General features: G+C 42.2%; 1 protein-coding gene across 4 annotated transcripts in view, besides 5 other annotated features; it reads right to left on the bottom strand.

Moving 5' to 3' along the window:
• TNRC6C (trinucleotide repeat containing adaptor 6C) overlaps window positions 1-22827 on the bottom strand; it is a 151279-nt gene extending 128452 nt beyond the window's left edge. For 3 of the 4 annotated variants that reach the window (NM_001395509.1, NM_001142640.2, NM_001395510.1), the window contains exon 1: window positions 21116-21681. The gene's annotated coding sequence lies outside the window, so the exon portion shown is untranslated. Of the gene's footprint in view, window positions 1-21115; window positions 21682-22515 lie in introns of those variants that run through there. The other variant, NM_001395512.1, reaches the window with a different exon arrangement.
• Window positions 20746-21304: an enhancer, noted in NCBI's record as "H3K27ac hESC enhancer chr17:75955162-75955720 (GRCh37/hg19 assembly coordinates)". NCBI's record gives its function as "activates a minimal SCP1, AML or CMV promoter by ChIP-STARR-seq in naive H9 embryonic stem cells {active_cell/tissue: H9 hESC(naive)}" and the evidence as "EXISTENCE:reporter gene assay evidence [ECO:0000049][PMID:30033119]".
• Window positions 21305-21864: an enhancer, noted in NCBI's record as "H3K27ac hESC enhancer chr17:75954602-75955161 (GRCh37/hg19 assembly coordinates)". NCBI's record gives its function as "activates a minimal SCP1, AML or CMV promoter by ChIP-STARR-seq in naive H9 embryonic stem cells {active_cell/tissue: H9 hESC(naive)}" and the evidence as "EXISTENCE:reporter gene assay evidence [ECO:0000049][PMID:30033119]".
• Window positions 21305-21996: a biological region, named in NCBI's record as "H3K27ac hESC enhancer GRCh37_chr17:75954602-75955161".
• Window positions 21537-21996: a silencer, noted in NCBI's record as "silent region_9038". NCBI's record gives its function as "represses an Ori minimal core promoter by ATAC-STARR-seq in GM12878 lymphoblastoid cells {active_cell/tissue: GM12878}" and the evidence as "EXISTENCE:reporter gene assay evidence [ECO:0000049][PMID:35858748]".
• Window positions 22017-22066: a silencer, noted in NCBI's record as "silent region_9037". NCBI's record gives its function as "represses an Ori minimal core promoter by ATAC-STARR-seq in GM12878 lymphoblastoid cells {active_cell/tissue: GM12878}" and the evidence as "EXISTENCE:reporter gene assay evidence [ECO:0000049][PMID:35858748]".
• Window positions 22828-25135: the final 2308 nt, after the last annotated feature.

The raw sequence follows: 25135 nt of genomic DNA, 5'->3' as shown, positions 1-25135 counted from the left end.
TTGTAGAGTGAGAGCCGAGGAAAAATAACCTGTGTTTTTCCCCCATCAGAACTCTCTTCCAGCTTTCTGTGTTGCTGTTGCCATTTATTATTTTTACTTTAAAAATTTTTAAGTTCCAGGTACATGCGCAGGATGTGCAGGTTACACAGGTAAACGTGTGCCATGGTGGTTTGCTGCACCTATCAATATTTTTACTGTTTTACACAGTTCACATTATTTTAGATGTATTCGTCTATCTATCCTTTCCAGTGCTCTTTACTCCTTCCTGCATCTCCATGCTTCCAGCTGGGATAATTTTCCTTTTACCTGAAGAACTTTCTTTATAGTACCTCTAGTGTAGATCTGCTGGTGATGAATTCTAATTTTTGTCTGTCTGAAGATGTCTATATTCTCACTTCATTTTTGAAAGATATTTTTGCTTCATACAGATTTCTAGGTTGGCAGTTATTTTCTTACAACACTTTGAAGATATCGTTCCACTGTATTTTGATTTCCATTTCTTTGCAAAGTAGACTGTCCGTCTTTACTGCCGCTCCTTTGAAGGTAATGTATCTTTTTCCTCCTTTGGCTGATTTTAAGATTTTCTTTGTTTTGGCAATTTTTCCTCTCTTTTCCCTTTATTTTTGTTTTTTGGTATTGATTCTGCTTAGAGCTACAGTGATTCTCAAATATGCAAGTCTGTATTAGTTTTGGAAGATTCTCAAGTTATTATGTCTTTTACTATTGCTTCTGACCTATTCTTTCTCCTCTCCGAGATTCCAATTATAAGTATTTTAGACTTTTAACAGTGTCCCATTTGTCTCTTACATATTTTTCTTTTTCTTTTCATTTTCCATCCTTTTGTCTCTCTGTGCTTTGGTATGGATATTGTCTTCTGATCTATCTTCTAGTTTACTAATTTTTTCTTCAGCTAAGAATACTATTAAACCCTCCTGTTTAATTCCTAATTTGAGTTGCTGCACTTTTAAAAGTTCTTTTTAATTTTTAATTGATGCATAACAGATACACATACTTTCAGGATTCATGTGATAATTTAGTACATTCATATGATTTGTAAGGATCAAATCAGTGTAATTGGGATATCCATCACCTTAAATGTCTTTATGTTAAAAAATTCAAATTCTTCTCTTCTAGCTATTTTAAAATATACAAAAGATTATTGTAAACTATTGTCACCCTATATTGCACTTTTCAATTCCAGAATTTCCATTTAACTTTTTTAATAGTGTCCAGTTCTTTCTGAAATCCTCCATTTGTCACTTAATTTACTAAACATATTTATCAACATTACCTTAAGGTCCATGTCTGATAACCCTAATATCTAGATCTCCTGTGGGTAACCTTATCGCCTGCCTCTTTTTATATGCTTAGTTTTTGACTGAATGTTAATCTTGCATGCACAAAACTGTGGAGATAGGCTGAGGCTGTGAATGTTACCTTCCTCTAGAGAGGATTTAGTTTTGCTTCTGACAAGCATTTAAGAGCAAGGGTGAATCACTTTAATCTATTTCAGCCAATTCAAAACTAAGTTTTTGTGTTTTGTGAGGGCTGGATTTCAGGAAAATTTTTAGGTTCACCATACACCTAGGGTAAAAAGTTGGGGTTTTTAGGGGGTAAGAAGGGTGGTTCCAACCAAAAGCCTGGGATGTTTACCAGGGTCTGTCATCCCTGAACTCCCGTTTTTGTGACCCCCGCCTCTGACATCTATTGAAAACTCTGCTTAGCTGCTCAACCTCAGCTTTTTGTTCAGGTTTTCAGTCCTAGCACTGAAGCTGGCAAATGCTTCTGAGGGGTCATGTGGCACCAAATGTTTATTCTGCCTCTTTAGACCTCCCTTCTCTCTAGGATCTTGGCCTCAAAGTCTTCAGTGTCCTAGTAGCTTCTAATACCTTCAAACAGTTGCTTTTTATTATTTACCTAAGCATTTTAGTTCCCGGCGGCAGGGTTGGTCTGACACTGGCTAGTCTGTCTTAGCCAGAAGCAGACACCCAAAATAATACTGAGCTTTACTATATGACCTTACAGGTAGCAAGTGAGATAATCTTATGAATTTACTTCCTTGATCTACCAATGTGGAGGAATATTAGTAGAGTTCTTTGCATTCTAAAGATAAGCCTTACTTCTACTATTCTATTGTTTTAATATGCTGTTGCATTTGTCTCAAATTCTCTTTAGAAAGAGGTTTTAGGCCGGGCGCGGTGGCTCACGCCTGTAATCCCAGTACTTCGGGAGGCTGAGGCGGGTGGATCACAAGGTCAGGAGATCGAGACCATCCTGGCTAACATGGTGAAACCCCGTGCCTACTAAAAATACAAAAAAAATTAGCTGGGCGTGGTGGCGGGCGCCTGTAGTCCCAGCTACCCAGGAGGCTGAGGCAGAAGAATGGTATGAACCTGGGAGGCAGAGCTTGCAGTGAGCCGAGATTGCGCCACTGCACTCCAGCCTGCACGACAGAGCGAGACTCTGCCTCAAAAAAAAAAAAAAAAAAAAAAGAGGTTTTAAAGAAAAAATACTGATACTGATGAATTACACTTTCTGGTAAATTATTTTAAGAGTCTCACATACACTTATGTGACAAAAATCTAAAGTTAGATATTTGCCTATCATTTTTTGTGTCTTTGGTATGTTAGCTTCATAAAATAAACTGGAAAGCTGTCCCTGTTTTTTAAGTTCTTAGGCAATTTACATAGTAAATATTAAAAGCATGAAAGGTTGAAAAGGAGAAACTTTTTGGAGATAATTCTTTTATAATTAAAATTTCTTTCTTGTTTTATTTAGGTTTTCTGAATTCTCAAAGGGATCTGGGACTACTTAAAAGATCCTATCCTAGCACATAGCTAGGGCTTAATAAATGCTGGTTCCCTTCTGAACTAAAAAGTTGTCTTTTTGTTTTGCAACATATCATAAAAAATATCTACCACTTCGGAGACAAGGAGTTCCTTTTCATAACCCAAAGCTTTAACTACTGGAGATTAGGGGTCTAGCAAAGATACTAGTGGAAATGAAAATGATACATTAATGCTCTTCATATTTTCCCCATCACTCCTATCTCATCAAACTTTGTAGAGAAAATTTATACCAGCAGAAGTCAATACAGAAATCTACTACATATGAAGATTTATTCAATTAATCAAGCTATATTTACTAAATACATATGTATAAATCAATACACACAGCTAAGTTTTATGAAAAGATAAACTAAACATGAATCCTGCCTTCAAGGAGTTTATAATCTAGTAGGAGAAAGAAAACGTATATATAGTAATCATTATAAAAGTTAGAAAGTCTAAGTACCATAAAATAGATACCATCTGGAAACATTTATCATATAATGATTAATACAATTTGTACACAAGTAGCAACATGTTAAGCATTCTATTTTTTTCCTCTTTAACATACCTGTAAAATGAAGGGGAAACCAAGTTTTTTTTTTTTTTTTTTTTTTTTTTTTTCTGAGATGGAGTCTTGCTCTTGTCGCCTGAGCTGGAGTGCAATGGTGCAATCTTGGCTCACTGCAACCTCCACCACCTGGATTCAAGCAATTCTCCTGCCTCAGCCTCCCCAATAGCTGGGATTATAAGCACCTGCCACCACGCCCAGATAATTTTTGTATTTTTAGTAGAGATGGGGTTTCACCATATTGGTTAGGCTGATCTCTAACTCCTGACCTCAGGTGATCCACCTGCCTTGGCGTCCCAAAGTGCTGGGATTACAGGCATGAGCCACCGTATCCGGCCCCAAGTTTTATATATGAAGTGACTTAGTGACTATATATTGCTTAGGTATCTGATCTTACCAAATAAAGTTTTACCTGAATAGCTGACTTCAGCGATGAAGAATCCAACACCACATTAAGATAATACCACAGGAGACAAATTTATAAGCATTTCTGGAACCCTAACTGGGGCTACTGTGTGTGAAATACAGTAAACTGAACTGACAATCTGATCATCACAAGAACAAATCCTAATAGTCTTCACAAAGAATATGAATTCAATCTCTATCCCACATCTTTTGCTCAATTTTATATGCTAGCATTTGTAGATGTTTTCAGGGCAAAACAACCTCCCTCACCCACCTTATAAAACATACCAAAATGATTACTATAGTCATGTCTATGATAGGGTTAAATTTGACTCACTTCTTTGAAATTACAGAAACGTATACACAAATATGTAATTAAAGAGCAAATGTGTGATAGTGAGAAACAGACTACGCAGGGCTGAATATAAGGAAGATAACATGAGCCTACAATGTGAGAAACTTACATACTATCTCATTTAATTCTTACAATAATCCTGTAATAGTATATATTATTATTCATTTCTTCTAGCTGAGCAAACAAAGGCTCAGAGAAAATAAAAATTAAACCCAAAGTCACCTAGCTAATAAGTGGCATTCCTAGAAATCTAGCCCAGAGTTGACAACTCACTCTAAAGACCATGATCAGTTGAGAAAGTTTTATAACACCATGGAATGAGAAAAATAAAGACGACCTACATTTTTCATAAAGATGCATTTATTCAATTTATAGGATTCTCCTATAAGATGGTATCCTTTCCACTTCTTTGCATGAGAAAGTCCTTTACTTTATAAAGTAATGATAAAAGTATATCATGGTACTTTTTATTCAAGTCTTATGTGGCAAGAGTAAAAGATGGCAACTGTAAATTAGTTTCCACTTCTGTTGTTGAACCTTTACTCTTACATGATGTCCCAAAGCCTCATAATCACAATGCTATTTCATATTTTCAAAAGACCAGATTTTACCCAAAAAAGAAAAATGTTTGATTAAATATTTAAGAAATGATTACCTTCCTACATGAATGACAAATATTTTTAAAACTGCTATGTGTAGCTGCCTTTATAGGCAAAATTATAAGGGAGGTCTCCCCATTCCCTCCACCACCATCTTTCCACCAGTTGCCCAGTTTTAACAATTTGGCTTCTTTCTCCCTCCAGCACACTGCATCTGCCCTCCCACCAGCACATTTCAACACTCAACCTCAGTGGATATGCTCATTATCTTGACTGTGGCTGTAGTTTCACAGATATATATGTATATCAACATTTATTGAATGTTATACTTTAAATATGTGCAGTTTAATGTATATCAGAAAAAAACCTTAATACAGATGCTAAAAAAAAACCTCCTAAGGTAATAACGTATTTGATTCTTTTGATGTACATTATTATTTTCACCACCTGAAGGTATTTACACCTGTTTTCATGGCCACCAGCAAAAGATGCATGGAAGAATTTTTTTCCCCCCATACATGAGACTTAAAGAAATTTCTTTTCTCATCCTCCTCAGTATCATATTTAAGTTTTCTCAACTGAATGTTTCTTTTTTAATCTGGCTTATTTCTTTCTTTGATTACTAGAAAGATACATTTTAAAGATGTTTGTTTACAAATTTGTTTTGCAAATTGTTTTTTCCCTTGCTCATTTACCTATGGCAAAAGGCATGGAATTAGTTTTCTGCAAAACCTGGGTTTGAACCCAGGACTACCTGATCTTGGGCAAGTCACACTGCCTCTTTAGGTCTCTGTTTTCTCCTCGGTGAACTCTACAGAACTGTGAATTTTGAACAGACTCAATGAGTTAAGATTTGTTCTTGGAAACATAGCAGAGAAACAAGACATAATACCTGTTAATAGCACTGTTGTTGCTAATCTATTATCACCCTGACTACACATAACATTGAATAACAATGGTAATATAAACCCAAAACGAAATGAACCAAAAACATACACAAGTAGGGTGCAGTGGCACGTGCCTGCAGTCCCAGCTACTCTTGAGGTTAAGGTGGGAGGATCTCTCAAGCCCAGGAGTTCAAGGGCAGCCTGGGCAACACAGCAAGACTCCATCTCTCCCTCTTACTTTTTTTTTGGGGCGGGGCGGGGGTGGTAATGAAAGAGGGGACATGACTGCTGATTTTACAGGAATTGAGGTAGGTACCATAAACAACTTTATGCCAACAAAAGATGATTTAGATGAAAGTACAAATTCCTAGGAATAGACAAATTAACAAAATCAATGCAGGAAAAATGGAAAATTTGAATGGACACATAGCAAGAAATCTCATCTGTTTATCAGCTATTTGTATATCTTTTTTGGTGACATGTGTATTGAAATCCTTCGCCCATTTTAAAATTGGGTACTTTGTCTTATTATTAAGTTACGAGAGCTCTTTATATATTCTGAATACAAGTCCCTTACTAGCTTTATGATTTGCAAATATTTTCCTTCAGCCTGTTTTAACTTTTCATGTTCTGTTTTACCTCCATTCTTTTTCTTTCTTTCTCTCTCTCTCTCTCCCCCCTCCCCCTCCCTCCCTCCCTCTCTCCAGGTCTTTTTGCATTTCTGCATAAATTTTAGAATTGGCCTGTCAATTTACAAACAACAACAACAACAACAACAAAAGCCTTCTGGGATTTTGATAGAGATGCATCAAATCTACAGATCAATCTAGGTAGAGTGCCAGATTAACAATATTGTGTTTTCCCATCCATCAACACAGAATGTCTCTCCAATTATTTGGATCCTCTTTAATTTCTCTCAGCAATGTTTTTGCAGTTTCGGTGTAAACATCTTCACTTCTTTTGTAAATTTATTCCCCAGGATTTAGTTGCTTTTGATGTTATAGTGAATGAGTTTTCTTAATTTCATTTTCAGATTGTTTACTGCCAGCATCAAGAAACACAAATGATTTTCAAACACTGGTCTTGTAAGCTGTGACCTTACTAAACTTATTTACTAGTTCAAGTAACCTTTCTTGTGGATTCCTAAGGATTTTCTATACACAGGGTTATGTCATCTGTGGATAAGGACGGTTTCACCGCTTCCTTTCTAATCCAGGTGCCTTTTATTACTTTCCCTTACCTGACTACATAGGCTAGAAGCTCTAGATCAGTGCTGAATAGCATTGAACTGATATTCTTTTTTTCCCAGTTTTGGAGAGAAAGCATTCCGTCATTCACTCTTCCGTATAATATTACTGTGTTTTGTATGGTTTTTCATATATGTGCTTTTTATCAAGTTGAAGCAGCTCTCTTTTATACCTAATTTGTTGAAAGTTTTTCTCATGAAAGAATGTTAGATTTTGTCAAATGCTTTTTCTGCATTTATTGAGATGATCATGTGGTTTTGTTCTTCATCTATTAATATGGTGTATTGCCCAGGCGTAGTGGCTCACGCCTGTAATCCCAGCACTTTAGGAGTCAAGACGGGCGGATCACCTGAAGTCAGGAGTTCAAAACCAGCCTGGCCAACATAGTGAAACCCCGTCTTTACTAAAAATACAAAAATTTAGCTGGATGTGATGGCAGGCGCCTGTAATCCCAGCTACGCAGGAGGCTGAGGCAGGAGAATCGCTTGAACCTGGGAGGCGGAGGTTGTGGTGAGCCGAGATCGTGCCATTGCACTCCAGCCTGAGAGAGAGTTGCGAGACTCTGTCTCAAAAAATAAATAATTTATGATATTATTATTTATGATGTTATTGGCTCTGGCATCGTGGTAACATTGCCCTCACTGGATCAGCTGGTAAATGTACCTTCCTCTTTTAATTTCTGGAAATGTTTGTGAAGGCTTGGTATTAGTTCTATGTGTTTGACAGAATTCACCAGTGAAGACAAAATAACCTGGATTTTCTTTGTGAGAAGATTTTAAATTACTAATCCAATTTCTTGCTATATGTCCATTCAAATTTTCCATTTTTCCTGCATCAATTTTTGTTAATTTGTCTATTCCTAGGAATTTGTACTTTCATCTAAATCATCTTTTGTTGGTATAAAGTTGTTTATGGTACCTACCTCAATCGCTATAAAATCAGCAGTCATGTCCCCTCTTTCATTCTTTTTTTTTTTTTTTAAGACAGAGTCTTGCTCTGTCTTCCAGGCTGGAGTGCAGTGGCGCCATCTGGGCTCACTGCAACCTCTGCCTCCCAAGTTCAAGTGATTCTCCTGCCTCAGCCTCCAGAGTAGCTGGGATTACAGGTACCTGCCATCATGCCCAGCTAATTTTTGTATTTTTGTAGAGATGGGGTTTCACCATGTTGGCCAGGCTGGTCTTGAACTCCTGACTTCAGGTGATCCTCCCACCTCGGCCTCCCAAAGTGATGGGATTTCAGGAGTGTGCCACCGCGCCTGGCCCTCTCTTTCATTCTTGATTTTAGTAACCTGTGTCTCCTCTAGTTTTCTCTTGGTCAGTCTAGCTATGGGTTTGTCAATTTTGTTGATCTTTGCAATTATCCAGCTTCTGATTTTACTGATCTTCTCTATTGTTTTTATGTTTCTATTTCTTTGGTTTCCACTCCAATCTCTACTTTTTTTTTGTTTGTTTGCCATCGGTTTAGTTTGTTCTCTCTAGATTCAGAAGGTAGAAGCTTAAGTGACTGATCTGTGATCTTTCTCCTTTTCTAATACATATTTAATACATTTAAAGCTATACATTTCTCTCCTAGTACAGTTTAGTTGCATCATGTCAATTTTGACATGTTCTTTTTTTTTTTTTTTAACTCACTTAAAAATATCTTCTAATTTTCCCTTGTGAGCTCTTCTTTAACCTATGGGTTATTCAGAAATCTCTTACTTAATTTCTGATGGACATACATGGAGTGAAAGAGAGAAGTCAATGGGGACTCCAAAGTTTTTGAGTGGAGCAACTGGAAGGATGGCAGTGCTTTTCAGTGAGTGGGAAGGAATGCAAGCAGAGCAGATTTTAATCTCTGGAAATGTTTGTGAAGGCTCGATATTAGTTCTATGTTTGACAGAATTCATCAGTGAAGACAAAATAACCTCCTGAGGTTATTTTGGGGCAAGAACAGGGGTGCAGTTCTGGATCTGTTCAGTGGAAATGCCCATTAAAAAGCCATCAAGATGTGGAACAGGCAACTGGATATGGAAATATTGAGTCTGGGGAGCAGTCTAGGTTGGTGTCTTCAGTGCGTATGTGGTATTTAATGTCACAGGACTGAATGAGATGACCAAAGGAATGAATAGAGAAGAGAAAGTTTATCATGAGAGAAGTCAGAGAAGGGTTCATAAAGGAGACTGGTTTCATGTTAGCTATTTTAGGAAATTTAGAATTTGATCTGGCAAAGACAGAAACCAATTCAAGCACTTTATCACCCAAGGTGTGAAATAAATGTTATTACAAGACACCTGTAACTAATGCATGTGTTAATGATACCACTAATAGATTAATTTAGATAACAAATTCCAGAGACTTGGGTCTCAGATAGACATTTTACAATATGGATATGTGAGGCTTATTTCATATATCTTTACTAAAATTATAACATCTTTACATTGCCCGTGTTACTAAAACAAGAATTTTATACCCCCCACCTACTTTTTTCTTTTCTTTCTTTTTTTTTCTGAGACAAGGTCTATCACCCATGCCAAAGTGTAGTGGCAGGATCGTAGCTCACTGTAACCTTGAACTCCACAGCTCAAGTGATCCTCCCACCTCAGCCTCCTGAGTAGCTAGGACTACAGGTATGTGCCACCATGCTCAGCTAATTTTTTCATGTTTTAAAAGACAAGGGTCTTGCTGTGTCGCCCAGGCTAGGCCAATTACCTGCTTTTATCTATACCAGGGGTGTCCAATCTTTTGACTTCCCTGGGCCACCTTGGAAGAAGAAGAATTGTCTTGGGCCACACATAAAATACACTAACATTAATAACTGATGAGCTTAAACACACACATACACACACACACACACAAATCTCATAGTATTTTAAGAAAGTTTATTAATTTGTTTTGGGCCGCATTCAAAGCTATCCCGGGCTGCAGGTTGGGCAAGCTTGGTCTATACCCATATGACTCTATACCAGTCTCAGTCATTTAACATATATCTCTCCTGAAAGTTGTGATATCAAAGTAAAGCAGCAGCCAGGTGAGGTTGCTCACACTTGCAATCCCAGCAACATAGGAAGACCCTGTCTTTACAAAAACAATTTTAAAAATTAGCCAGGCATGATAGTGCATGCCTGTGGTCCCAGCTACTTTGGAAGCTGAAGTGGGAGGACTGCTTGAGCCTGAGAGGCTGAGGCTGCGATGAGCTGTGACTGTACCACTGCACTCCAGCCTGGGCAACAGAGTGAGAACCTGTCTCAAAAAGAACCAAGAAACAAAACAAAATGTAAAGAAGTAAAACTGTTATCCTTCCAACTGGAAAGCCAAATAATGAAATACGCTTAGCCCAAACCAGGTGTCTGAATCTGCTTACAAGTCTTTTCAAACTTTTTGTGTTGAAGAACCAGAAGAAAGATATAATGCAGAAGAAAAATGGGTCAAGTGAGGGAAATTGCTTTCCAACTGAGATTTGAGATTGAATAGGAAGTAGCTGAATTAAATGGAAGAAAGACAGTTATCATCCATTCATATGCTGCTCTTACATGAGTTATCAAAGGCAGCTTACTTCTAGCTTACCCCATTAACTAAAGCATTCTAGTTTCAAGGTGATACATTTTTTTCAGAACTGTCTTCTCACCTTTTATAATTTAGATAAAAACTAGAGTCCCTTTAAGTGGGCTTAATTTTTTCAGTAATGTTAATTTTCAAATAGTGCTCCAAGGAAAATTTGCTGCTATGGCAGGAAAAATAAAGGAATCCGTGAGATCTCTGCTTGTCTCCCAGGCACACTGCTGCCTACACTGCATTCTAGATGCCAGAGTTAGAAATCAGAGAGAAAAGAACATCAGGCTTTTCAAGTATAAATAACGATTCTTATAAACACATAAACGTTAGTTTTCTCTTAATAGGTCAGATGCCACAGATCAAATTTGAGGTCCCAAAGATCTCTCAGATTTTTAAAGATAATGGAAATTGCCGGGCGTGGTGACTCACGCCTGTAATCCCAGCACCTTGGGAGGCTGAGGCAGGTGGATCACCTGAGATCAGGAATTCGAGACCACCCTGGCCAACATGGTGAAACCCCGTCTCTACTAAAAATACAAAAATTAGCTGGGCATGGTGGCGGGCACCTGTAATCCCAGATACTTGGGAGGCTGAGGCAGGAGACTCGCTTGAACCCAGGTTGCAGAGGTTGCAGTGAGCCGAGATTGCGCCACTGCACTCCAGCCTGGTGACAGCGAGACTCTGCCTCAAAAAAAAAAAATTTATTAAAGATAATGGAAATTATACTACCTCAGTCAGTCTGAATGAGGTAGTGCAATAGAGCGGTGAGGAGCACAGCCAATGGAATTAGGTGACCTGGCTTCTTCAGAGTGCCTCAGTGTTCTCCTCTTATTAAGGAGAATAAATGAAATAACATATTAAGTGCTCTGTACTTGGCACATGGTAGGCACTCAATAAACTGCCAGTATGAAGTCTGGAATCCTTTCACCAGCTGTGGGCTGGTATCTCAACGCTAACAGGCTTAGCGTCACAACAGTACACAGAATGAAAGAACGCTGTGTTCACCCTGTTGCCTCAAACCAGGTCTCTCTCTACTCCCAACTCTCAAGTGCAGTTTCAGGAGGGCAAGTGGGAAAACAGGGGGGAAAGGTTGTGGGAAAGACAAATAAAAAGTAAGAGAAACTAATGAGAACTTTTGTGAGTGTTCCTAAAGGCTGAATTTTTAAACTCACGTTCACTAATTTAAGATTTAGTTGGAAAATCACAAGTTAAAGAGAACAAACCATTTTCTGAAGACTTAAGATCTACCCAATCAAAATTCTGCCATCCAAGGCTAAATAGGCATGTGCATAAGCTATTTAAATAACTACATCTCGGGCCGGGCACGGTGGCTCACGCCTGTAATCCCAGCACTTTGGGAGGCCGAGGTGGGCGGATCACCTGAGGTCAGGAGATAAGAGACCATCCTGGCCAACATGGTGAAACCCTGTCTCTACTAAAAATACAAAAATTAGCTGGGTGTGGTGGCGGGCGCCTGTAGTCCCAGTTACTTGGGAGGCTGAGGCAGAAGAGTCGCTTGAACCCGGGAGGCGGAGGTTGCAGTGAGCTGACATCACGCTACCGCACTCTAGTCTGGGCGACAGAACAAGACTACGTCTCAAACAACAACAACAACCCACTACATCTCAGCCAGGCGCGGTGGCTGACGCCTGTAATCCCAGTGCTTTGGGAGGCCGAGGTGGGCGAATCACGAGGTCAGGAGTTTGAGACCAGCCTGGCCAACATGGTGAAACCCCATCTCTGCTAAAAATACAAAAAATTAGCTGGGCGTGGTGGCAGGCACCTGTAATCCCGCCTACTCAGGAGGCTGAGGGAGGAGAATCGCTTGAACCTGAGAGGCAGAGGTTGCAGTAGCTGAGACCATGCCACAGCACTCCAGCCTGGGCAACAGAGCGAGGCTCTGTCTCAAAATAAGAATAAGAATAAGAATAATAAGAATAATAACTACATCTCAAATTTTTATAAAGTAACCTTTAAAGGAGTACTGAAATTATGAGTAAACATAAATTGATTTCAAGAAAAAGAATACTGACAATCTCTTTTTAAAAATCCTCTTATTTCCAGAGAGTTTTCCCTAAAGGAGGGCGGGATATAAGTCTATCCAGAATAATGCTAACCAGACATTCTGGCTTGGCCAGAATAATCTCATTAGTCATAACACTCATTTTTCCAATGGGCTAGTATCTAAAGACCATCATCAAATCTGTGAAAGACAAGCCAGGAATTACCTTGTAATTGATCTATCATACCTACAATTTTGTTGTGCATGAGAAGCGTCACACATTGTTTTTTCATGATTGGGTCAGTGGCACTTATTGGCAGTGCCCAGAGGCCTCAGGAAAAGGAACTAGCCACTCCTTCAGGTACCCTACAGAAAACAGTAGTGCAGGGAGCCCCTATGATGACTGTTCCTCACCTGTCAGCTTCCCAATTCCCCTCAAATCTGCAGATACAGCCCCACGTACCAGGCTTACTAGTTGAAAACACAGTTGATCGTTATTCTAAAAGATTAAAAACCGAAGAAACATGTTCAATTATCAATCTTCTCTCCCCCCCCGCATGACTTGTGGAAGCAATATCTCTGAAGAAACAGATGATTGTTATCTAAATATCTTCAAAATACTATAGACGATGTAGGGATTACAAAGATGAACATGTTATTATCCCTGCTAATAAGTAACTCAAATCTTAAGAAATTATCATGATAATGAAGTTTTTTTTGCAAAGCATTAATCTGCAAGGAAATGTGCTGAAATTTAAAGTCTAAAGTTGATAGAAAAGAATAAATAACAATGCTCAATTAAATGCCACACTACATATACACAAAAGTCCAACAGTGGCTAAGATCCTCATTCATCACCTGACTGATAAAATAAAAAATATTTTTATCTGTTTTAAAGTTTCCCCACTCTACAGGAGTAAAAAAGAATCTATTATTCCTTAAGTTTAAGGAATCTCTTAAGTTTACCTAAAATTTAAAAATTCTAGTAACTTCAACACAATTACTAATGCTGCTATTCTATTTATGTAATGATTTGATCTTATGCTTCCTTGAAACATTAAAGATTTTTGTTTTCTCTTCTTTCCTGTCAACATTCCATATGCATAAAATTTACTATATACCTGGGACTGTTATATAAGATCTAGGTCAAGAATTTTTTTATGGGTATGGCCCTAAGAAAATCTGATTTCATTGAGAGTATCCACCATAATTAACAGCAGACGTCTATTATTACATGGCTCATCACATACTTGGATTTATGCTGTGAGTCAAATCTCTACTGCAGAACACAACCTCATACAATAAACTCGCCTAAAACTACTATCTTGTGTGTCATCTTTCCCCATCAGCATCTAAAAAGAATGTACTATGTGTATTTAACCAAATATCTTAATATTAGCTTCATTAATTTAAAGCCTCTGTGGCAGATTCTAGGAAGAGCAGTAAGTACCCTATGCCTCTTAGAACTCATTCTTTCCAACAACCCACGTCAATCATTTTGTATTATTTTATCCTGCTGATTCTTTGTAACAGCTTTTCAGTTTGACCCTACCAGTATGTAGGCATCACCTTGCACAGACAGCTACAACAGCCAGTTTTAACACCATACCTCTGCTCAAGGAAGATTCTAATCCAACACCTGATTCATGTCATGCCCACCAACAGCCACCAACGGTTCCTAAGGAGCCAACAACTAGAGGTTCCACCTGATAGAGCCCCTTCTAAACCTTATTGCCAACACAGAACCTCCATTTACAGCTAGGCCTCTGCACTCATCCAGTCAATAACTATATCCCGTCCCTACTATGTCTCAGCCATTATGTTACGCGCTTTACAAAATATTTCCAAACATGGCTTGCCCATTCGTCTCCTTGTAGAATATCCCTTTCATCCAACCAAGCTTTGCCAGCCTTTCAGAACTCATTTCAAGTGAAGTCTTGCCTAACCACTGCAGCCCACAGGCCCTCTCTGGGGATGACCAGGCACTCTTCCTTTCTGAATTTGTTAAAGTCAGTCCCACTGAACTAAAAAGTGGTATGAAGGGAAAACAATGTTCAATGGCCACATAAGTTTGGGAAATACTGGGCCAATAAAGGTAAACATATTTCTTTCACTGCTGGAGTTCTCAGAGCATCCAAAATTTTGACATGCGTCCTTAAGAGAGGAGATCCAGTATACAGCTATATAATGATCTATTACCTTAGGTTTTTGTCAACTTTTTAATATGTGTATGTGGCGTTCTTCACATGTATTGCTTTCTCTCTTTTTTTAACAACTTGTTTGGTGCCCATTTCTCTCACTATACTAGTAAGACAGCTCCAGGAGGGCAGGAAGAAGTTGATGTCCTTCCCCTGTGGCCGCTGCACAGGGAAGACATAAAGGTTTTGTGGAAGGAATGATGTAATCAGGCTCAGGCTTCAGAAGGCAGCACAGCGGAATGATAAAGAGCTCAAGCTCTGGCTTCCAAGGACCTAGACACATTTATTAAGGCTCTGATTTGGGGCAAATTATTCAACTTCCATCAGTTTCAGCTTCCATGTATAAAGTGAATATAATCACAGCTCCTAACTTATAAGCTGCTGAGGAGAAATGAATGAGATCATACACACAAAGTGCTCAGAAGGCAGTCAGTTAATATTGGCAGCTGGATAGCAGGACACAGAACAGAGGAAGAGACTCATTAAGCAGCTATTAAAATAATCCAAGCTTTTTCCATATGTGAGGGCTTTGAAGTGTATTGAGTTTAAATTCTGGCTTCATCTCCTATAAGCTATAGGATCTTGTGGAAATTACTCCCTTTGCTCATCTGTAAAATGGGAATGTTAAAAGCAACCACTTCACAGGAGTGTTGTGAGGATTAAATAAGATAAACTCATGTCCTTGGCACATAATCACATTGTAAATGCTCAGATTAGTTTTAAATGGAGATCTGGTTACCTAAGGATGCTTTCTAACCTCGTCCACTCCCACTTCACAATTCCCAATTGTCCTCAGTGACTCAAATGTACTTGTTCCCACAAATCCATCACCTTCTTCCCTTACTGTGCCTCCCTACCAAAAAAGACCTTGTTTAAGACATCAGCCATAGCCCCCTGAAGAACAAAGCCTATTAAATTCCCTCCCTACACTCTGGGCCCCTCACTCTGCACTTCATATTTCATATGGAGTATGAGAAAAAATACTTGTGCATCTCCCTCCTCCCCACTGTAATTTCTGAATAACCGTTGTCCACATCATCTCAACAACAGTTGGAAAGGTGACACCTGTGCCCGCGTTGCCATTTCCCAGTTTCAGATCTTAGTTTAATTCCCAGTTGCTATTTTCACTGAGATTTTCCCTGCTTCCTAAAAGAGTAATTAAAAAGAAATGATCTTTGGGAATAAAAAAGTAAACAATATCTTTGCCAGGCTCAAACCAAGCACTTGATTTTAGCTGTGAGAGATCTTATTCTTAATAAGCTAGAAGGCACACATAAAATGAATCAAACAAAGCACATATTCCCAATAACCACCTGGGCACCAACTTGCATCTGGTATTAGCCACGTCAAAAGACAGTCTGCACATTAGTAAAGGACTCAACCACAGACAAGAGTTATCCAACTGCTGAGAATAATTCAACTTGACACTGTGATACTATAGGTTTGTAGTTCAATCCTTCAGAGAAGGAAGTTATAAAGATACAATAGAGTATTAATTTCTAAAATGGTCTGAAGAAGAAAAACAGAGAGGGTCTTCAGAGTAAACCATTTGGATTTATACAAATAGATGCCAGTCACACTCTTCTTCATTTTTGTGCAAAAAAATTAAAAATTTGTTATGCCAAAAAGGTTCATGAGAAAGTGGAAACTGGGCCAAATTAGACCAATCCATCCCACAAAATATCTGGAAGATTCCAGATGACTCTTTGGGCCATGTGCACTGTGTGTGGCCCAGTGATCATATGGGTCTTAGGGCAGTGGTTCTCCAACAGAAAAGAAGTATTGCAACAAAGAGGCAAATAAAGAGGAAGATGGTGGGACAGACAACTCTTATTTCCTAGACACCCCTTATTTCCTAGAGCAAACATTTAAATCCACTGGCTTACAAGAGGAATATACTTAAGAAGCTATATTATTGCTCATCCTTAATCACTACTATATTTTAGAAAACCAAAGTTCCAATGCATAGCTGGAACTCAGAGAGACACAGAGAATATTAAGAGTTCAAAATAACATTGAGTGTTCCTTTCCCAAGACCATTACTTCTGTTGTGGTTTGCAGCCACAGAGGGCTCAGGAGAGTGCGAACAACTATCTGTGCTACAGCAGTGATGTTTTATGGCTGGATGCCCAGATTGTCTAGCTCTGCACACAGCTCTATAGTCTTTTGAAGGCTACAGAGGAGGAATGCATTCTTAACAAACAGCTCTCCATTCCTGCAATAGCTTCTTCATTCTCTGAAAACATCTAAAGCTAAGAAAAGAATTCATTTTTAGTAAAACTCCAAAAATGGAACAAACGATATGGATTTTCAGCATGTTTTAAACATGTAAAACCTTGTTATATATATCCCAGGTGGAGATTTTTTAAAATTACATAATTTACTTTTCATTAAATAAATTAACATTTCAAATGCACGATCTGTACAATAGGAAACTGTACCATTATTTTAATCGGGTTATTCAAACAAGTTCACTGGCTAAGATTATACATTTCTCAGTTTCAATTTCAGATATACACTTTCTGCACAAGGTTATATAGTTATTTCTGACAAGTAACCTTTACATTTTTAAGTAATTATATTCCTAAAAAGTTATGTATAAGCTGAAAATTTATAAATGGACTCCACTGCATTAAAGTCTATTTAAAGAAAGCTTATTGTATATCATTTTATAAAGAATGCTCTCCTCGTGACCACACAATTATTTAAAAACTCATTTGTATAAATTTGGATAGCCATAGACTGAGTAAAAGCAAGAAAACCTGTACAATCTACCCCCTACAAAATAGGAGCCACTTCTCACCTGATATTTTGCTGTCCCTACTCAAATCTATGACATCTTCAAACAAAATATTAAGATGTTAACTATCTAAAGTAACTAAAATCCAGTCACCTTCACTGGGACCAGTTGTCATGCAAGAGAGACCAAAGACTGTGTCACCAACACTTCAAAATATTTCCTTACTTCTCACCTAAAATATTTGAAGACCCTCTGAGATAGAGCTGGAGAAAAGGTAAAAACCCATGTCTTAAAATTATGAGAAAGAAGCCAAAACAAGTTCAACGGAAGATAACAAAAACAAAACAAACATAAAGTTACCTGGTTCTTCCCAGCTTATATAGACCCTTTCACGCTCAGTCTGTTCAGGACTCCGCCTCCTGCTCCCTCAACCTATCCTTCTGCCAGCTCCAAGGACGTCTATAAATCTGTTCCTGTCTCCTCCTCTCCATTTCTTGTGCCTTCTCCACCAGCTTCAGTTGCTCTTGGTAATCTTTGCTTGCTCTATCCCCAAATCTTAATTGTCCCATGTGTTTTACTTTGGTATACGGGACAGCCTAGAGTTCACAGCCAAACGATTTTCTTTCTTATAAAATCTTAAGTATCACCTTTGCACAATAAACCCTGACTGAAAGATAAACAGTCATCCAAAGCATAAGCATGCAATCGAATGCTCCAATTCCTATTGGGGAAGGCCAAAAAGACCCCCAAATAGTCTTTTAAATGGTTTTTCAATCTTAAAAGGTTGTTGGTGAACTTCTACGATGCCAAAGATATTCTATATACTCAAATCAAACAATTAACTTTCATCAGTAGTCTTTTTTAAAAAATGTCAAGTTAGCATCACTTTCCTGGGCCAAGCAAGACTAAGTTACAATCAAGACCTCATCCCCTTCAATTGGGGTTGGAGAGGTAATGTAAATACCTCATTCCCAGCCAGCACTGCAGGAACTGTGTCTTCCATTTCTTTCCAAACTGGAAACTCCCTTCATTAAGGAGAAAGGTTGTCCTACTCCAGCCCTGACCCTCCTCTGGCTTGGTTTTGGAAGTAAGCCAGATGACAGCATTTGGAAAAGCACAAATGTATCTCAGGAAAGCCAGCTGTTTAACAAAAAGGTGGCGGTAGCGGTGATGAAAAATACTGTATTTAGTTTCATATATCCTCTGTATGACTTAGTTATTTTTTAATCACCGAATGTCAAACGAAACAGTTCATTCCACTCTACCTTCACAATCAGCATTCTAAAGGCAACTATTTACTCCAAAGTTCCTAAGCCAACTAAATATAAATGTAAACCTGTTTCGAAATGATGTTAGTGTTAAGACATATGCTACTCGAAACCCACCCTCGCCCCCCGCAATAAACACGAAGGACGAAAATCTAAAACCAACACTTACATATACTCCAGGTTACTACCAGAATATTTAAATGGCAGAATCCGAAATGAAATTGTTAAGATTAAACCTTATGACAGACAGTCTCAGTATCAACCGTATTTAATTTCATACCTTAAAAGTAAAACCGGCCGAGCGTGGTGGCTCACGCCTGTAATCCCAGCACTTTGGGAGGCCGAGACAGGCGGATCACCTGAAGTCAGGAGTTCGAGACCAGCCTGGCCAACATGGCAAAACCCCGTCTCTACTAAAAATACAAAAATTAGCCGGGCGTGGCGGCGGGCACCTGTAATCCCTGCTACTCGGGAGGGTGAGGCAAGAGAATCGCTTGAACCCGGGAGGCGGAGGTTGCAGTGACCCGAGATCGTGCCATTGCACTCCAGCCTGGGCAACAAGAACGAAACTGTCTCAAAAAAAAAAAAAAAAAGTAAAACCGAGGTAAGGTCAGCAAGGTCTTTGTTTTGGACAAGAAGCACAGAAGAGTTACAAACAAGCTTTTAAAATCAGATCCTTATAATAAAAACGAGTGTGTGTGTGTGTTTACTATTACCGTTTTCTGAGCTATCAATTTCTCACGGCCTGACTATGCCTATGGTCAGGTCATGAGAAATCTGTATGAAAAACAGCTTCCAAGAATGTCTATTCTTATGAAAATAAATATTAAAAACTTTCTGTAGAAAAAAAACTTTCAGTATAGGTAAAGTTACAACTGTTCACATCATTACTTTGTTCTATTAATACACACAAAATTAATTCCGACAACTGAACTAGTCATTTTAAAAACCCTGTTTTGCATTATTTCCCCCAACAAAGCATCCTAGGGGTGCTACAGTGAAACATGCTCAAAGACCATTGCCACCTCTGCTGTTCTGGAACAATGTAAATTTCTTCAAGGTGCCCTCTACTAACCAAGTTCATCTGGCCTGGGGCTAAGTTTTATCATTTATTCTTTCATACAGTACTGAAGGAAATCCGGAATCTATGAATATCATTGCCAACACCCCCTACACATTTCAAACCAGCTACCACTGTCCTCTGAAATCACTCAAGCCAGGTTTCCAGGGTCTCAACTCATTCGCATAGTTATTCAATTCCAACTGCAGGAAATCACTTGCATAAAGTAGGCCTTATGCAGGCTCAAATTACATTCAGGGACGTACGAGGCTCTCACAGCGATCACCATAAATTGGCTACCTTGTACTGGCCGAAGTACGTCAACGTGAACACCAGACACTCGAGAAAAACCGAACCTCGGCTACACAATGGATTAACCCAGTCAGAAGGCTCCAACTTGCAACTCCTTAAAGACGCTGAAGTTGGACATCTACAGAGCACCATTTTGAGTTTAGAATCCGCAGTTCACGCCTAGAAATAACCGAGCGGACCACTCAAATGGAGGTTTCATTTGGCGGAGGCAAAGGTTTGAGACAACTCCACTAATTACGTGCAGAATCACCAATACCGTCAAATGCCTTCGAATGCAATAGGTGCAGCCACGATCTAGCGGCTCCTCCTCCCCTACCTCCCGGCACAACATCCAAGCAGCAAGCCTTCATTTTTGCTAAGATCCCCAAAGCTCCGTGTAACATGCTTGCCAGTTATTTCTTCCCCAGGTTAACAGGCAGGGAACCCCCACATCCACATCTGCACATTTTCATAGCTACGAATCAATTAATTAAATCTCGTCCTCAAGGTAAAGGTGCAAAGGAGGCACCGCTTAAAGCAGAGGCGGCAACCAGGCGCTCGGGTTACGTTATCTGATAACAGGACAGATGTTGTACGGCTCGTTTTCCTCATACGCATTACTCCGCAGTCCGCAGCACCGTTAGAAAATCCACCTGATTTCAGAGCCGCAGAGCGCCCAGGGGTCCTTCTCCGCCCACCCGCAGCACGCCCCGGGTTTTTCTCTTCCCCCAAACAACGGCACCGGGCTCCTGCACCAAAACACGGCGGGTTCGCGCCTGCCATCACCAGTGCAAAATCTGCGGGGGGCTGCCCGGAAAGGACCGAATTTCACCGCTGCATGAGTTTTAAAAGGGAGGGGGCACATCCATCTTCAGCCCTCCATTCCACTCCCGTTTGATTGTGATGCACACCGGGCGTCTGCACAGCCCCGTCTCACACTAGCACACACGCGCCCCGGCCCCGGCCGCTTCCCGCCGCTCCCCTCAAACCCGGCCGGCCCGGGGCCTGGCGCCGCACGCGGGTCGCTAGGGGCCAGCGCCCGCCCCGGCTCGGCTCGGCCGAACAAAGGGCCCGCGAACCTCCCGGCAAAGTTGCGGCTGCGGCGAGGAGCGGGCGGACTGCCGCGCTCACCTGGGCTCCGTCCCCGGCGGCGGCGGCGGCTCCGCGGGGCTCCGGTGGCGCGGGCCTGGCGGCGGCGGCGGCACGAACAACCGCCCGAGGGCCTCGGGAGTGCGCGGGCGGCGGGGGCCCGCTCAGCGCCGGCGCCACGGACTCAGGTCCCGGCGCGGGCGGCGGCGGCGGCTGCGGCGGCGGCGCGGGCGAGTGGGCGGCGGCGCGTCCCGGCAGGTCCAGGTCCGGCCCCGGCAACGCCGCGACGCGTCCTCCTCCTCACGCCCGGCGGGATGCGGCTCCGGCGGGGTCCGGGTCCTAGGCGGCGGCGGCGGCGGCGGTGGCAGCTGCGGACGGCTGGGCGCGGGGCCGCTCCGCTCCCTCCGCCTCCGGCTCGGGCGGGCCCGCGGCTACTGCGACGGTGACGGCGGCGGGAGCGCGGCGGGCGCTGGGACTGCCCTGTCAGGGGGCGGCCCGGGCGGCGCTCAAGACTGCGCGGCGGCGGGGCCGGCGGCGGCGGCTACGGCTCCCGGGGCCGTCGCGCTGAGGTGCGGAGCTGCCACCGCGGCCATCTTGTTGCTCTAACTGACAAGAACCCCCCTCCCCCCGCTTCAGCCAGACGGGGCGCTCGCGCCCCCTTCCCCGCCCCGCGTTGGCCTCCAACAGGAAGTCGTCCCGGCCCCTAGCACGTGACTCCCACCGTATCTGCATACCGGAGGGCGAACTGGCCAATCGGCACTCTGCACCTGAGCTCCTCCCCCGCGCGCCCCTCCCGGCCCATTGGCTCCTCGGCCAGGCCACGCCTCCTCCTTTCCCCTTAATACCCGCCCGCGCTGTGGTTCCCTGCACCGCGCGGGGAGCGCGCCGGGGTGCGAGCGGTGCGCGCTCCGAGTGGCCGGGACGCGCGCCAGTCCTGGGAGCTTGCACTGCTCGGGGGGGTTACGTGGAGACTTGCGTGGTGTCCTTTACCGCCGCCGCCTGCCCTCCGGTCCCTGGGCGCTGTGGCTCCGCGTTAGGGTGCTGGCGGGAGGGGTGCCGATCCGGTTCTGCGCGTCCGGTGGGTTCTCCGGGCCAGCGCCCCGCGGCGCCCGGGCTTTATGCTGTAATTGCGCCCGGCGGCGCCCGGCGCCCGCACCGGCGCGCGTCTCGCCCGTGCCGTGCACACGCCCTGCACCGCCCCACTTTGCACACGCACACGCACACGAGTCCTTGGGGCCCTGGAGCATCGTGCTCGCCTCGCGCCTCCCGGCCCGCCCTTGCGCTCAGTCGCTCCCCAGGGAGCGCCCAGCTGCGAGCAAAACAAGCCTCGCTGCGAAACAGTCCCCCGGGGAGACAGCCCTTTCCCCGGAGCACAGACACCACACCTTCACCGCGCAAGCCTTCGGTCCGGGCCGAACCCGGGCGCTCCGGCGCCTACGCACCCCACGATTCCTCCCCGGTGCTCCGTACGCCGCCGTGATCCTCCATTCCACGGCTCCTCGATATCCATTATTCATTAGTGGTAGGTAAGGTCAGGCGCAATGTGCAATTCGAAAAGTCCCTTTTTAACTTTCGGTTCAAGCCAGGAGAAGATTTTGAAACCAAGAATTTTCTCCATTTTCATGCAAGGTCGCAGAAGCAGGCTAGCTTTTCCCCCATCGTTCAGTGGAGGATCAGCAGTGCTACTTGGAAGTTGGTATTGGAAGAGGCCATTCCCTGTCTACGTGTCCCTGTCTTGAAGAGGAGATAATAACACACTAGTACTTTCGCAATGCAATTTTGTTACCGCAAGTGTCATGCTTTGAAACGACTGTGGATGAAAGAGACAAATTCCCCGCTCTCGTTTCCCTTCAGGGTCCCATGAGCTCCTTTCTTCTTACTGCCATATTTTAAGCCCTCCGGTAGTCAGATTCACAACCAGCCTCTAAAGGGTCGTCAAATGTCTGTTGTATCGTGTTGTGTATTTCCCCTCCCGAGAACCCACATCCCTTAGAAGGATCTGAAGGCAGAGGGAGCTGACATGGAGGCTTCTGCCTTGTCTATTCATTTTATTTACGTTCATTTAATTCTCGACTGCAGAGAACCTACATCTTTTGTATTTCTCAAAGGTAGAGGTATTATCACATGCTCCAGAAGGGAGTGCAAAATAACATCTTCAAAATAGGCAGCGCCCACGAAGTAGACTGCTGCTACATAAATGAGGAATCCAGGTATCTGGGTGGACCAGAGTGGACCAATCATTGTGATAAGCAGAGCTTCACTTTTTGGAAAATTGAACCAAAATACATTATTTAGCATTGTCTTTGGTTCCCTTTCTTATCCCCCTCCCTCAGTTTAATCAGGCAAAAATCGTCCTCTTCTCCAATGATATTAGACTCTGAGCACCGAGAAAAGGCAGAACTATAGAGACTATATGTTCTGAACCCCAAACTGGACTCATAGTTTGGCATGTGGACCTGTGACAGTAGAGATAATGTTTGAAACTAAAGTTGACCCAGAAACATTGAGGCATATGGTGGCCATGAATGTTAAGACTGCAGAGCAGTGTCACTTATTAGTGGTTGTTTGAACTGATAAAGTATGAGTAGGAACCCCAGGCACAACTGTAAAAATGGGTACGTTCATGTTTCGGGTTGGTCATCCTGTTATCAGCCCTGCCACCACCACCTTATAACTAAGGTATAAGTTGATCATCTATAGGGCTGGGCATGGTGGCTCACGCCTGTAATCCCAGCACTTTGGGAGGCCAAGGCAGACGGATCAGGAGGTCAGGAGATGGAGACCATGCTGGCTAACATGGTGACATCTCTACTAAAAATACAAAAAATTAGCCAGGCATGGTGGCGGGCGCCTGTAGTCTCAGCTACCTGGGAGGTTGAGGCAGGAGAATCCCTTGAACCTGGGAGGCAGAGGTTGCAGTGAGCAGAGAAGGCGCCAATGCACTCCAGTCTGGATGACAGAGCTAGATTCTGTCTCAAAAAAAAAAAGGGTAAAACCAACAAAATTACGTTTAAGAGGACTAAATGTTAAATGTGTCTCTTAAATTAAAATGTCAACTAGTTGAGGACAAATGAAGAAGACTTAGCTGGATACAAGGTAATGTAAAAAATTCTAGTTATAGATGACCACACGTTCAACAAGGCTAAATGTGTGAACTGCTTGAAGACGACAACAACACTACGTTAAAATAGTGTCCAGTTTAAGAGATTGCACTCTGAGCTGGTCAGATCCCAAATGGAGTGTTTTGGCCAGTTCTGAGCACCAGGGTGCAAGAAAGAAATCGACAAAGTTAGAGACTGACTCAGAATACAGCCAGTTGTTGATGGAAATCCTCCAGTCTGACCAACAGCTGAAGAAGCAGAAGAGATTGGTGCAGGGAAGAAGAGACAAGCAGGCCAGGATGGCTCTTTTCAGATATTTTTGAAACTCCTGTATGCAAATAGGTACAGATATATTCTTTGAAATCCTGAGAAGCCAACCTGAGATCAGTGGGTGGTAGATATTAGGCAAATTAGTTCAAATATACACTGCACCCTACAAAATGGAGTTTCTATCAAATGGAGTTATTAATAGAAACTCCATTTCGTAGGGTGCAGTATATACTGCTCAGGTGATGTGTGCACCAAAATCTCACAAATCACCGCTAAAGAACTTACTCATGTAACCAAATACCACCTGTACTCCAACAAGCTATGGGAAGAAAAAGAAACTCCATTTAGAAAGGTAGCAAGATCCACATCTGTGCAGGGGTTTAAGTGGAAAGACAGGATGATCACGTCCCTATCTCCATGACTATTGCAAAACAGATTACTGTGTTGACTAGCTCAGGGTTTCCCAAAGTGTGTTCCCCCAGACCAGCGGCATTGGCTTTACCTAGGAGCTTGTTAGAAGGGCAACTTCTCAGACCCCATTGCCAGACCCAGTGAATCGAAACCTCTGGGGATGGGGCCCAGGTATCTCCATCTTAGCCAGCCCTCCAGATGATTCTGAGGCGATGAAAATTGGAGGAGAGTAATAAAGACACCTTTTTGAGGGCTGTATTTGCGTATAATACCCCTCTCC

This window comes from Homo sapiens, chromosome 17 (assembly GCF_000001405.40).
Source record: "Homo sapiens chromosome 17, GRCh38.p14 Primary Assembly".
In the NCBI taxonomy this organism is placed as follows: Eukaryota; Metazoa; Chordata; class Mammalia; order Primates; family Hominidae; genus Homo; species Homo sapiens.
This window is presented reverse-complemented; position numbering and strand designations above follow the sequence as displayed.